Below are 13,826 nucleotides of genomic sequence, written 5' to 3'. Positions count from 1 at the left end.
GGGTGTGTCCTAGCACCTTTTCAGTCTTTACCGAAGACAGCGTTCAGGATTGCTACCTATACACAAACTCATATTGCCCTGTTGGAGCTTGGGAAATCTTTGATGCTGTGATTTTAAAAGTGCAACAAAAAAATTCTTTCATCGTTAATTCCTCTTCTCATCCATTTTCTCCATTCTCCACATCCCTCCTCTCATAATTTATAATCTCTTCCCTCTTCTCATTTGTTTCTTATTTGACCACCTCTTTGCTCTTTCTTATTAAAAACCACTTTCTTTTCTGTATACTTTCCCTTTCTCTCAGGTTAGTGCTTCTTCTCTTTGGGCCCCAACTTCTAATTCCCACGTTTCCTCTAGTGTGTTTCTCTCTTTCACTGAAAAAGAAACTGAGTTGGTTTTACTTTTATCGTTTAGAGTGAACCGATTTTAAGTCTTCACTTAAAATCAGTGCCCTGCCCCTACCCAGCAAGCAGATAAATTTGCCATTTGACCAGACTCTTGTTTTTTGTATACACGTCACATGTGAACTAAGGGTGTGTGTGTGTGTGTGTGTGTGTGTGTGTGTGTGTGTGTGTGTGTGTTGGGGGAATAGAAAGTAAGGAGAGAAAGTAGCTTGAGGTTGATCACATCATATTCTCAGGGCACCAAGTAAAAGGGTCCGAGTTCTTGAGGTAGTTACTAGCCCTAGTCTAACATGTTTATTTTGCTGTTGGGGGTAAAATAACATTAAAAGAAGAACTTCAGATGACTTAAATTTAACAGAGTTTAATTGAGTAAAGAACAATTTGCAAATCAGTCAGCTCCCAGAACCATAAAAAGTTTTAAGTGACTCCAGGGTTGCTACAGGGTTGGATAACATTTATGGACAAAAAAATAACAGAAATAGCTGGATTGGTTTTTGCCTTACTTGAACAGGTGTTTGCCTTATTTGAACACGATTTTAACAGTTGGCAGCCTGTGATTGGCTGAAACTTGGCTGCTGTGATGGGCTGAGGCTTGGTTGCTTGTGATAAGAGTAGGTTACAGACTATTTACATATCACATTATGTAACAGTTCATTATATACTGAGAAACCTTTGGCCATACTTAAATATGTAGAGGTGCTGCTTTAGGCCAAACTTAATTCAATTTAATAATGGCAAAGAGAAGGCACTTTAGCATTTTCTTTGTATGTTCTCTGCTTTTCATTTCAACCTATCTTCTTACTCCTAATTAAGCCATTGAGATACTCCATTAAAAGCAGGGACTGAGGCCAGGCGTAATGGCTCATGCCTGTAATCCCAGCACTTTGGGAGGCTAAGGTGGGAGGATAGTTTGAGGCTGGGAGTTTGAGACCAGTGAGACCTCATCTCTACAAAAATTAAAAAATTAGCCGGGTGCAGTTGCCCATGCATCTATGGTCTCAGCTACTTGGGAGGCAGAGGAGGGAGAATTGCTTGAGTCTAGGTGGTCCAGGTTGTAGTAAGCCATGGTCACACCACTGCACTCCAGCCTGGGTAGCGACAGAGTAAGACCTTGTCTCAAAAAGAAAGAAAGAAAGAAAAAATGGCATGGGCTAAACCTTTGCCTAATGTTGCAGTTTGTGTACTTCTGAAGGTACTGGAGGCAGAGAGACATTCTTGGATATCACACTTGACGGCTTTACTTCCTGAGGGTTTGATTTTAGAGGGGGACCCTGCCATTTTCCTTCCCTTTTCCTGTGCACCCAAATCTGTCTCTCACATAGCTCCACTCTTATGTCTTCATAGGATTTGAAGGAAAAATACTATAGTGACTTTCCTTAGAACTTCATTTTAGAGATGAGGATATTGACTTACACAAAAATCAGGTAATTTATTTAAGGTTATTCAGGAAATTGATAATAATTATGGGGACTGTATTTTTCAATCCAAAACTGAGACCCATAATCTGACAATAATACTCATAGTAACAGGAGTAGTGACAACAACAAACACAGCAACAATAATCACTGCTGTTAGTTGAACATACACATCGCCAGGCATTACGTAAGGTACATATCATCTTATTTGATCCTTTCAACAACCCTCTATGTGGTCATTTTTTATTCTAACTCTATATATAATGGAGGCACAGACAGAAATCCACTTTATGCATAATAATGGAGCAAAGGTAAGTTGTAAACCGGACTCTTTCTCGTTCTAAAACTTGTGCCTCACACAGTGGTGTGCTGGAGCCATCTTGTACTGGCTCATGAGTGATGATTGTTAGCATCTCTTCCAAACTCAGTGTTCAGTGACATCAGGTTAGTTGCTTGAAATTGGCCACCATAGAAGTATTTATACCATGGAAATTGGCCAAGGCTAAATATTAGGGCATGGCTTTCTTTGCCAGAGAGTTGATTGTTAAACATTTACCGACACACCACTGCCTACATGTGTTTTTACAATATTGTTCTTTTATCAGTGAAATGAGATTTTTAAATATCATGATTCTCCTAGAAAATCTGGATCATGTGATTACTATCGTGGTGTTAGGGGAAAAAGCTGAACTAAAATTCAGATGTCTGTACCCTCCTGATTAAATGCTCTTTTTGACTTTTCTTGCTGGAATTTATTTTCTTTTATAATCTTAAGTCCACAAGTTATGTTTTAGACAAGGGCTATTTGGTTAAGGAATAGAAACTTACTCAATCCAATGTAAAGTGAAAAGAGAAAATATGTTGAGAAGGTCCAGCGGCACTGTGGATCTCCATCCCACAGAGTCCTGTAGCAGGAAGTGTGTCCTCCTGAGGGAGTGGAACATATAAACTGGAAAGTCAGTTCTGAGCACCTTGGCCTCATTGCTCTTGAACTTTCTAGTTTCATGTTGTTGCATCTCTTTGCGTGTCCGTGTTGGCAGACCAGCTATTTCTGCTTCAGAGTGATATAGCCAACATCCTGATTCATTGGTATTCTCATTCCAAGCAAGTGCCACTAGGCTTACTGTTTTGAGCTCCCATTTTCCATTTTCCAGGAGAAAGACACTTAAGCTCAACAAGGGCCAGTTGTCCAATCAGCATGGATAGATGGTGAAAACAGAACATCTTAAAAGCAAGGCTGTGGAAAGAGGTTTCTTCGAGAAGGCAGGAGTGGCTGGGAAATATTCCTTGTTTTTAGTACAATGACTGGAAAGGGGGAGGTATGAAATACAGAGGAAGAAAAGCTAGATTGTAAGGAATTTGAGGGAAAAATCTGGGTCTTATTTCTAAATATATGACACCTCACCCTGTGTTTGGCATTCCAAAGACACTGAAAATAAAGTCCACAGGTAGCTCTTGTGGATGATTTTCCAAATAGTAAAAAAAAATTTCAAAAAAGTCTCCATAGGGAATTTTTATAATTTTATGTTGCCTCAGTACCCTAATTTTCTCATATCAGAAGCAAGGCTCAATCACCCTGGACACAGCTTCCAGCTGTACGCCACAGCCACTGGCTGGCTCAAGCCAGTGGCTGGAAAGAAGAACTTAGAGGCATCTCTCCTGCCTAGCAGATGGGGCTGTCTGCTTTCCTGCTTCCTTTAAATGAACCACTAGGCATCTGCCCTCAAACTTAAAGTGACCCACAGTCTAATTCCTTAGAAATACTGCTAGTCATTGCATGCTTCACTCTCTCTCTTTTTTTTTCTCCTTCTCTCTCAGCCTGACTCTTCATTCCTGCCTTGTGTGACCCAGGGATGGAGGACTGCCCTCCCAACTCATTATCCTCTTTGCCCAGGAGCTGTAAGTAAAAATCTTTCAACTTGTTTCCTGTTCTGGTGGTGTACTGAATTTATATTTTCCATCTGAAGAAATAGGGACTACCCTAGACCAGGTTTTCTTCAGGATGCTGGGAAGAACACAGGGTTGGCCTCCCAGCGCTGGAGCAATGGTCAGGCAGGCATAAACTGGACATGGGTCAGACGAGAGCCACAGGGATGTCTGCCAGTGTGAGAAACTATCTGGTCACAAGTTGAACAACTAGCCATTAGACTGTCTGCCAGGCAAAAGAAAGATCCTGTGAAAGGCACACTGTAAACGCCCAAGTTCAGCTCCCCTTTATTTCCCATTAAAGCAGCGTTGCTCACAGCTCTGATACTGGAACCCCTATTTAGCTGAGGGCTCTGAAAACTATTTCTTCAAAAGAGAAAATAGAAGGCTAGTAAATAATTCTATAAACAAAACCATTCTAGTGGTCAATACAGATTATTACCAATGAGATCCATATGGGTCATCAAAGGGATTATGATGTCATTTTCAACACCCAGCTGTAACCTTCAGTTGGAAGTCCAGTTCAACATAAAAGTTTAACATTTTCAAGTCCCCTCCCACACTGCTTTACCCCCTTACAAGGTTATGACTAAAAGCAGAACCATTTAAAATAATCATTTTATGAAATTACATGAAAATAGAAGAAATCATGTCCAAATTGAGGAAAATGACCATGTTTTTCATATTCCATCTTCAGAAAATAGCTTTTAAAATAAGTGGTATACCATCCTTACTTTTTTCTAGTTAATGAGGAGCAAAATATGTGCCCTCAGGTTCAGGAGCCCTAGAGTTCAAATGATCAATGCAATTGTAAAAAATTCTTACCCTGCATGTTGAACTTAAAATCTCATGAGAAAAGATTTTATTTGTGCTATTAGAATGTTACTGCCTAAAGCCTTCACTTTTCCAGAAAGTATTGTTGAGATTTAAAATAATTGCAATAAAAACCAGTCTACATTTTTCAAAGTTTGAAGAATGGTGGCTTGGTCTGAGAATTTGAATTTATTTTTTACTCTTTTCATTATATGAATTTATTAATACTTTACCTTTAAAATGCAATGCGTATAATTCAACTGTTGATTTTGCAAGAACTGATTTTTTACTCTGAGCACATCTACTCACAGCACATCTCACTTTTAACTTCCATGTAACATAACCTTTTCTGCTTAAGCAACTCTTCTAGTGACATTATCACCATCTCACTAAGTTTATTCTTATATGGAATTGCAGCCTGCTAGGAACTAGAGGAGGTACGTTCTGGTTGACTTGTTTTAAGATCAAATAAAACAATCAATTACTCTATTCTTTCTAACTTATCTTCCTCTTCCTCTTTCTCTCGTTTCCACCTTTTCCTTGCCAGGTGTGAGACAGATGGTCATGCAGTGGAGAATAAACAAGGACCCTTTAATCCAGCTGGTGCTCTGCTTGTCTCACTTGTGGTGTTGCATGTATTTAGCTACCAGTGGGAATCCAGGGGACTGTGTAGTAAGGATGAGTGGGGTCATATGCTGGGCTGACTTTTTTCCCAGGACACAGTGGAATGGCCATGCAAGTTGTTAAAATACTAAAATATTTTTGCACTAGTTGATAAATAACAACTGGTTAGGGCCTCTTAACACTAAGCTGTTCCCTTCACCCACCACCCTGGATTCCTGTGTCCCAACTTGGGGATATTTGGACCTACTTTCCCACATCCAGTTGGATTGATACCTGGTACAAAAAGAAGCCTTAGGACTTCTTTTACTACTTTTTAAAACCACTTGTATCTATTTGTTTTTATCCTATATGCAACCCAACTAATTCTTATATATGTTAGAATAGTAGTTTAGTCCATTTTGCATTCCTATAAAGGAATACCTGAGACTGGGTAATTTATAAAGAAAAGAGGTTTGTTTGGCTCACAGTTCTGCAGGCTGTACAAGCATGGCACCAACATCTGCTCAGCTTCTTGTGAGGCCTCAGGAAGCTTTTACTCTTGGCAGAAGGCGAAGGTGGGACAGGCATGTCACATGGTGAGAGAGGAAAAAAAAGAAGGGGGATACCAAGCTCTTTTAAACAACCAGCTCTTGCCTGAACTAATAGAGTGAAAACTCATTTATTACCACAGGGAAAGCACCAAGCCACTCATGAACGATCCACCCCATGACACTAACCCTCCCACCAGGCTCCACCTCCAACATTGAGGATCACATTTCAACAAGAGATTTAGAAGGGACAAATATCCATATTGTATAAGCAGTCAAAAGCACAATTTCTGGTGTTATGAAATCTCTCTCTCTATATATATGTCTGTGTGTGTGTGTGTGTGTGTATGTACACACATAGACACAGTATACATACATGCAAATCTCAGCCTGGCTATGGACCAAGTTCCTTAATTTTCTTATTTTATTTTTATTTTTTTGAGATGGAATCTCACTCTGTCGCCCATGCTGGAGTGCAGTGGCTCTATCTTGGCTCACTGCAGTCTCCGCCTCCTGGGTTCACATCATTCTCCTGCCTCAGCCTCCCGAGTAGCTGGGACTGCAGGCGCCCGCCACCACGCCCAGCTAATTTTTTTTTTTTTTTTTTGTATTTTTAGTAGAGACGGCGTTTCCCTGTGTTAGCCACGATGGTCTCGATCTCCTGACCTCGTGATCTGCCCGCTTTGGCCTCCCAAAGTGCTGGGATTACAGGCGTGAGCCACCGTGCCCGGCCCAAGTTCCTTAATTTTCTTGAACCTCAGTATCTTCAATTATAAAACGTAGAATATAATAATGTTTGTCTTGCAGAGTTGTTGGGATGATTAAGTGAAATAATATATGTAAAGTGTTAGCAATGTTCCTGGCAATAAGCAAATTTAACATTAATTATGACTATCATTGTTTTCATGCTGCTTCATGCTCGAAGGTAGCCCTGTGAAATGTGTTCATATCTATCCAGCTGCCCAGAAATCAAGGTTGAGATTGTCAACATTAAGCATTCTTCCTTACTCTGAAATCTAATTCAAAACTTACTAGAGTTTAGTTCAATATCTAATATATTTTACTTATTGAAATTGTTTTCTTATTTTATAAAGTTTTCGTTGCAACAATTCCTGAAACTTCTGCCCTTCAATGCCTCATTACACTTACACAACTCCTCTTCACACATTCTCTTTTCTTTTCTTCTGTGTGCTTATTGCGAGCCATGCCCACTCCCACTTCCCTCTTATTGTTTACCTATTTTCTCCCTCCTGGAATTCTCTTTCCGTTAATTCTAATCTTCATGATTTAAGGCCACTGTAAATTCCTGTCTCCTCTGGAAAAGCCTCCCCAAATATCCAGTCTCAATAATGCCTTCTCTTTTGGCCTTTAGCAGAATTTATAGCTTTCGATCCCCACTTTAAAACCAATTCACTCCATTGTTTCCAGTGAGTCTTTTCTTTACAGCTAGCTTGTACATGTCTTGAAGGCATGGACCTGAGTTTAGGCCGTCATAGGAAGTATCAAAACGGGGTTTTGATGGCCAAGAATTTTTTTGAGAGGTCACAAGGAGTATGGGCTTTCCAAAATGTAAAAGCACTTTAGACAGAGAAAGGAAAAATATTTCTTATAAGTTGATAAGCAAAGCAGAGCATGTTAAAACAAAACAAAACAAAAACCCCTTCTTGGAATTAGAAAGGATGGAACAAGATTGCTGAATAGAAGGCTTCACCAATTGTCCCCAGCCCGGTCCCCGCAAGGACACCAAGTAAACAACTATCTACATGGAAGAAACACTTTCATAAAAACAGAAAACCTGATGAGCATTCATAGTACCTGATTTTTAACTTTTTAACTTCATATCACTGAAAGATGCACTGAAAAGGTGGAAAGAGCAGTCCGGAATCCTCATGGACACCACTCCTCCCCACCCTCTGCAATCCCCATTGCAGAGTCTTGGTGCAGAGAACATCTTTGAGCACTGAGGGAGGAAGAACACAGCAATTATGAGGCATTAAACTCAGTGCTATCCTGTTAGAGCAGAAGCAAAAACGCGAACAAACTCAGCTGATGCCTGCCCACGGAGGGAGCTTTGGAACCAGCCCTAGCCAGAGGGGAATTGTAAATCTCAGTGATTGTTGGAGCTTGAGTGCCTGCAAACCTTGCCACAGAGGGCTCCAGTGCACTGTGTCTCCAAGTAAACGTGAAAGGCTAGCCCGTAAGGACTGCAACTCTTAGGCAAGTCCTAGTACTGAACCAGGCCCCGAGGCAGTGGACAGTGGACAGTGGACAGTGGACAGCGGGGAAGGGGATGCGACCTACTGAGACACCAGCTGGGACAGCAAAGAGAGTGCTGGCATCTCCCCTCCTCTAACCCTAGGCTGCAGAGCTTGAGGGTCCAAAAGAGACAAATTTTTTTCTGCTTCAGGAGAGGAGGGGGAAGAGTGGGGAGGACTTTGTCTTGCATCTTGGATACCAGCTCAGCCACAGCAGGATAGGGCACCAGGTAGAGTCGTGAGGCCTCATTCTAGGCCCTAGATTCCAGATGAGATTTTTAGACACATCCTGGGCCAGAAGGGAACCCACTGCCTTGAAGGAAAGGACCCAATCCTGGCAGCATTCATCATCTGCTAACTGAAGAGCCCTGGGGCCCTGAATATCCAGCATTGATACCGAGGTACTATGTTGAGGGCCTTGAGTGAGTCTCTGAGACTTGCTGGCTTCGGATGAGACTCAGTACATTACCCATATGTATAAAATATTATTAGAGCTGAAGAGAGAGATAGGACCACATACAATAATAGTAGGAGACTTCAAGACCCAACTTTCACCATTAGATGGATCTCCCAGACAGAATGTCAACAAACATCAGACTGCGCTAAAGACCACATGGATCTAATAGATACTTACAGAACGTTCCATCCAAGAGCTGCAGAATACACATCCTTTTTCTCAGCGTGTAAATCATTCTCAAGGATAGACCATATGTTAGGTCACAAAACAAGTCTTTAAACATTAAAAAAAATTGAAATAATATCAAGCATCTTCTCTGACCACAATGAAATAAAAGTAGAAATGAATAAGAAGAGGAATTTTGGAAACTATACAAATACATGGAAATTAAAGAATATGCTCTTGAATGACCAGTGTGTCAATGAAGAAATTAAGATGCAAATTAAAAAATTTCTTGGAACAATTGATAATGGAAACACAACATACCAAAACCTATGGGATGCAGCAAAAGCAGCATTAAGAGATAAGTTTATAGCCATAAGTGTCTACATTTTAGGAAGAAAAACTCCAAATGAACAATCTAACAATGCATCTTAAAGAACTAGAAAAGAAAGAGTAAACCAAACTCAGAATGAGTAGAGGAAACGAAAGAAAAAAGATCAGGGCAGAAATAAATGAAACTGAAATAAAAAAATCCAGAGGACAATGAAACAAAAAGTTTGTTTGTAGAAAAGTTAAACAAAAGTGACAAACCTTTAGCCAGACTAAGAAAAAAAGAGAGAAGATACAAATAAATAAAATCAGAAATGAAAAAGACATTCCAATTCATAGTGGCTACTATGAGCAACTGTATGAAAATAAGTTGGAGAATCTAGAAGAAATGGACAAATTCCTAGATACATACAACTTTCCAAGGTTGAACTTGGAAGAAATCCAAAAGCTGAACAGACCAATCACAAATAATGAGATTGAAGCCATAATAAAAAGTCTCCCAGTAAAGAAAAGCCTGGGACCTCATGGCTTTGCTGCTGAATTCAACCAAACATTTAAAGAACTAATAGCAATTCAATTCAAACTATTCCAAAAAATAGAAGAGGGAATACTTCCAAACTCATTCTACGAGGCTAATATTACTCTGATACCAAACCAGACAAAGACACATCAACAAAATGATAGCTCAATATCTGCATGAATATTAATACAAAAATTCTCAACAAAATACTAGCAAACCAAATTCAACAATGTATTAGACAGATTAGTCATCATGACCAAGGAGGATTTCTCCCAGGGATGCAAGGATGGCTCAACTTATGCAAATCAATGAATGTGATACATCATATCAACAGAATGAAGGATAAAAATAATATGATCATTTCAATTGATGCTAGAAAAAGCATTTCATAAAATTAGACATCCCTTCATAATAAAATTCCTCAAAAAACTGGAGATAGAAGGAACCTATCTCAACATAATAAAAGCCATATACAATAGAACCATAGTTAGTATCATACTGAATGGGGAAAAAGTGAAAACCTTTCCTCTAAAACCTGGAACATTACAAGGATGCCCACCGTCAGCACTGTTATTCAGCATAGTACTGAAAGTCCTAGCTAAAGCAATCAGACAAGAGAAAAAAATAAAGTGCATCCAAACTGGAAAGGAAGAAGTCAAATTATCCTTGTTTACAGATGATATTGTCTTATTTGGAAAAACCTAAAGACTCCATAAGAAAACTATTAGATTTGATAAATTTAGTAGAGTTGCAGGATGCAATATCAACATACAAAAATCAGTAGCATTTCTATATGCCAATAGTGAACTATGTAAAAAAGAAAGTTAAAAAGTAATCCCAGTTACAGTAGTCACAAATAAAATTAAATACCTGGGAACTAACCAGAAAAGCTAAATATCTCTGTAATGAAAACTATGAAACACGTATGAAAGAAATTAAAGAGGACACCAAAAAAAAATGGAAAAATATTCTATGTTCATGGATTGGAAGAATAAATATTGTTAAAATGTCCATAATACCCAAAGTAATATACAGATTCAGTGTAATCCCTATGAAAATCCAATGACATTCTTCACAGATATAGAAAAAATATCTTAAAATGTATATGGAACCACAGAAGACCCAGAATAGCCAAAATTATCCTAAGCCAAAAGAAAAAATTAGAGGAATCCCATTACCTGACTTCAAATTATACTACAGAGCTATAGTAACCAAAACAGCATGGTACTGACAAAAAAACAGACACATAAACCAATGGGACAGAATAGAGAATGCAGAAACAAGTCCACACACCTACAGTGAACTCATTTTTAACAAAGGTGCCAAGAACATACACTGAGGAAAAGACAAGTCTTTTCAATAAATGGGAAAACTGAATCGATATGCAGAAGAATGAAACTAGACCCCTATTGCTTGCCATATACAGAAACCAAATAAAATCAAATCAAAATGGACTAAAGACTTAAATCTGGCCAGGTGTGGTGGCTCATGCCTGCCATCCCCGCACTTCAGGAGGCCAAGGTGGGTGGATCACCTGAGGTCAGGAGTTTGAGACCAGCCTGGCCAACATGATGAAGCCCCATCTCTACTAAAAATACAAAAAATTAGCCGAGCATGGTGGTGGACACCTGTAATCCCAGCTACTCGGGAGGCTGAGGCAGGAGAATCACTTGAACCCAGGAGGCAGAGGTTGCAGTGGGCCAAGATTGTGCCATTGCACTCCAGCCTAGGCAACATGTGTGAAACTGTCTCAAAAAAAAAAAAAAAAAGGACTTAAATCTAAGACCTCAGTGTCTCTTTAGGTCATCTCCAGAGGGAAAGAAATCAGAAATATTCCCTGAATATTACCAAATGCATGTCTTACAATTAAGTCTTCTCAGACTTAATGGACTTGATATGGGTCTAGTGTCCATCCCTGAGCCAGTCACTGTGGCCAGGGGGATAGAATGTGCTGATTGGCTTAATCTAATTCATGTGCTATCCTCTGATATCTTGGGTTGGAGTCAGGTTCACTGAAAATACACAGGCTAGGATTGGGGAGTACAGATCCTTAAGCAAAGGAAACTCTTGTTGTCACAAGAAAGGAGTATATGCTGACAGGAATGTGTCCTACAGCTAGTGGTTCCTTCTTTATTCCATACTATTTACATCCCACCTCAGAATGGACAAGTCTTTGTATTGGTACTTTTTACTCTAACAGTAGAGAATTTTCATTATTTCATGACCACCCAGAATTTGGACTTTAGTTGCAAAACTTCTTAAACTATGTTTCTGTGTTCTTAATTTGCTACTATGTAGATTGCACAACATCAAAATGAAGGGTGCTTGAGCAAAAGGCAGAGACCTTGTCTATCTGCTTCTCTGTTTTGTCCCCAGTACTTAGTAGCTTTTCAATAAGTACTTATAGACAAAATAGAGATTTCCTGTCCTTCAGTGCACTTCCTGCAAAAGGTGTGATTCTTATTACTCAGGAATGTGTCCTTTGTTTCTCAGCTGTTCTGGGAGGAGGTGGTAGTAGTAAGAGCTTTGTAGACAGCCTTGATCTTTGTTGGGAAGAATACACTTCTAGGGAATGCTACTTGAAGAGTGCCTGCTCTATGTGAAAGTTACTGACTATAGGTTACTTTGTATGTCTTACACATAACAGATATTTCCCTTTCTTGTAGCTTCTCTGGGGTTTCATTATTTAACTTGCTCATGCCCATTGACCGTGAGCTGCTATTAGCTGGGCCCTAATATCCATTGGTACAAAGAATAGTTTTTTAGTGGCACTAATGGTTTTTCTAGATTTGACGGAAGGAAGAAAATGAGACTTTGCACTTCTGAACCTATTTTCAGTAGATAACCAGTGTTTATATACAGATTTTGTGTGTGTGTGTGTCATTCTTACTGTTTTATATAATTTTCTTCCAGGTAACAATCATAGGGCAATAAAGGAGTATTGGAAGAGGGTTGCAGTTTTTATCCAAAGGCTAGAAATTTATGGATGTTTCTTTGATTTTTGATTGTGTAGACCCTACAGTTGGCAAACCCAGAATGAGCCATAAAGTGGCAAACTGAGGTCTCTTTTCTTGATGTGTAGCATCCCTTACCTGGATATGGCACATCATGGTTCACAGGACTCTCATACAACATTGCACTTGTTCCTTCAATCCTTATTAGTAGTCGTGTGAGGTAGACAGGGCAGGGATTATTAGGCTCATTTTACCCAATGAGGAAACTGAGATTTAGACAGAAGTTACATGATTTATTGAAACTTCACAGTTAATGGTATACAGAACTGGATCCAATTCAGGCTTCTAGCCAGGTTTCCTAGCCTAGAAGCTTTTCCAGATTAGGTGTCCCATCTTTAGAGTTAATTGTAAGTGCCCGAAGGAAGGGCCTTGTTGACATTCACTCTGCAGTTCTTATGGAATCACCCTTAGCTGTCTGTGCATCCACACTGGAGTCTCAGCTTCCACACTGAATTTGAAGCAACTGGAATTTTCACTGGGAGGTTCTGCATGGTGCCAGTAAAGACCCACTTTTTCTTCATCATGATCACCTGCAGCGTAACATTTTTGAACTGACTGTCTTCTATATCTGTTCATAAGCCGGGTGCACTCTTCCTTTCTTTGTGGGACCTTTAGGCCTCCTTTTATCATGAGGCTGACTTGAATGAAAGAGGTGAGTAGCAATACATATTTACACTCTGCAGTCTAAGGGGTTTCCCAGCTTACCAACATCCAGGGAAATAGGTTGATTCATTTAGTTTTATATTTTTTAATCAGTATGAAAGTATTAAAAAATACATTACTGAAAATTTAGAAAATTGACTATTTTTCCTTATACATATTGTCAGAGTATTAATAAGCATACATGCATATTGTATTTTACTTTCCATTTAATTTTTTTATAAGTATTTTTACACATTTCAACACAGTCATCACTGAGCACCTACTATGTGTGAGGTGCTGATCTAGGCTGTTTTTAATGGTCTTTTTAGTCGATAAACTATAATTTACTCAACCATTCATCTATACATGTACATTGTTTCTGATTTTTCCACTATTGTGAATGGAAGGGCAATGCACATATTTGGAGATACATCTTTTTCTATACTTTTATTAAGATAGATTTTAGTAAGTGGAGTTACAGGGTCAAAGAGCATGAATATTTTCATGACCATTAGTACTTATTGTAAATTGCTTTCCAGAGCTAGTTTTCAAATTTACAGTGCTATCAGTATTGTATAAAAATATCAACTTCACTGGACCCTCAAGAGCATCTGATTTTATCATTTTAAAAAATGCTAAGAGGCAAAGAATGGTGTCATATTTTTTCTTTTTTTTTTTAACTCGCATTTTGTTGCTTAACTTGGGAAGGCTGAACATTTTTTGCATATTGTGTTTTTTAG

At 39.0% G+C, this 13,826-nt stretch overlaps 1 long non-coding RNA gene across 1 annotated transcript in view; it reads left to right on the top strand.

Moving 5' to 3' along the window:
• Positions 1–13,826, top strand: part of LOC105374060 (uncharacterized) — a 302,423-nt gene that overhangs the window by 144,709 nt on the left and 143,888 nt on the right. Inside the window, exon 2 of the long non-coding RNA NR_135547.1 lies at positions 3,635–3,715. This is a non-coding gene — a long non-coding RNA (uncharacterized LOC105374060). The remainder of the gene's footprint in view (positions 1–3,634; positions 3,716–13,826) is intronic.

Source organism: Homo sapiens, chromosome 3, assembly GCF_000001405.40.
Source record: "Homo sapiens chromosome 3, GRCh38.p14 Primary Assembly".
Taxonomy (NCBI): Eukaryota; Metazoa; Chordata; class Mammalia; order Primates; family Hominidae; genus Homo; species Homo sapiens.
The sequence above is the reverse complement of the archived record's forward strand: the minus strand, read 5'-3'. Positions and strand labels throughout refer to the sequence as shown.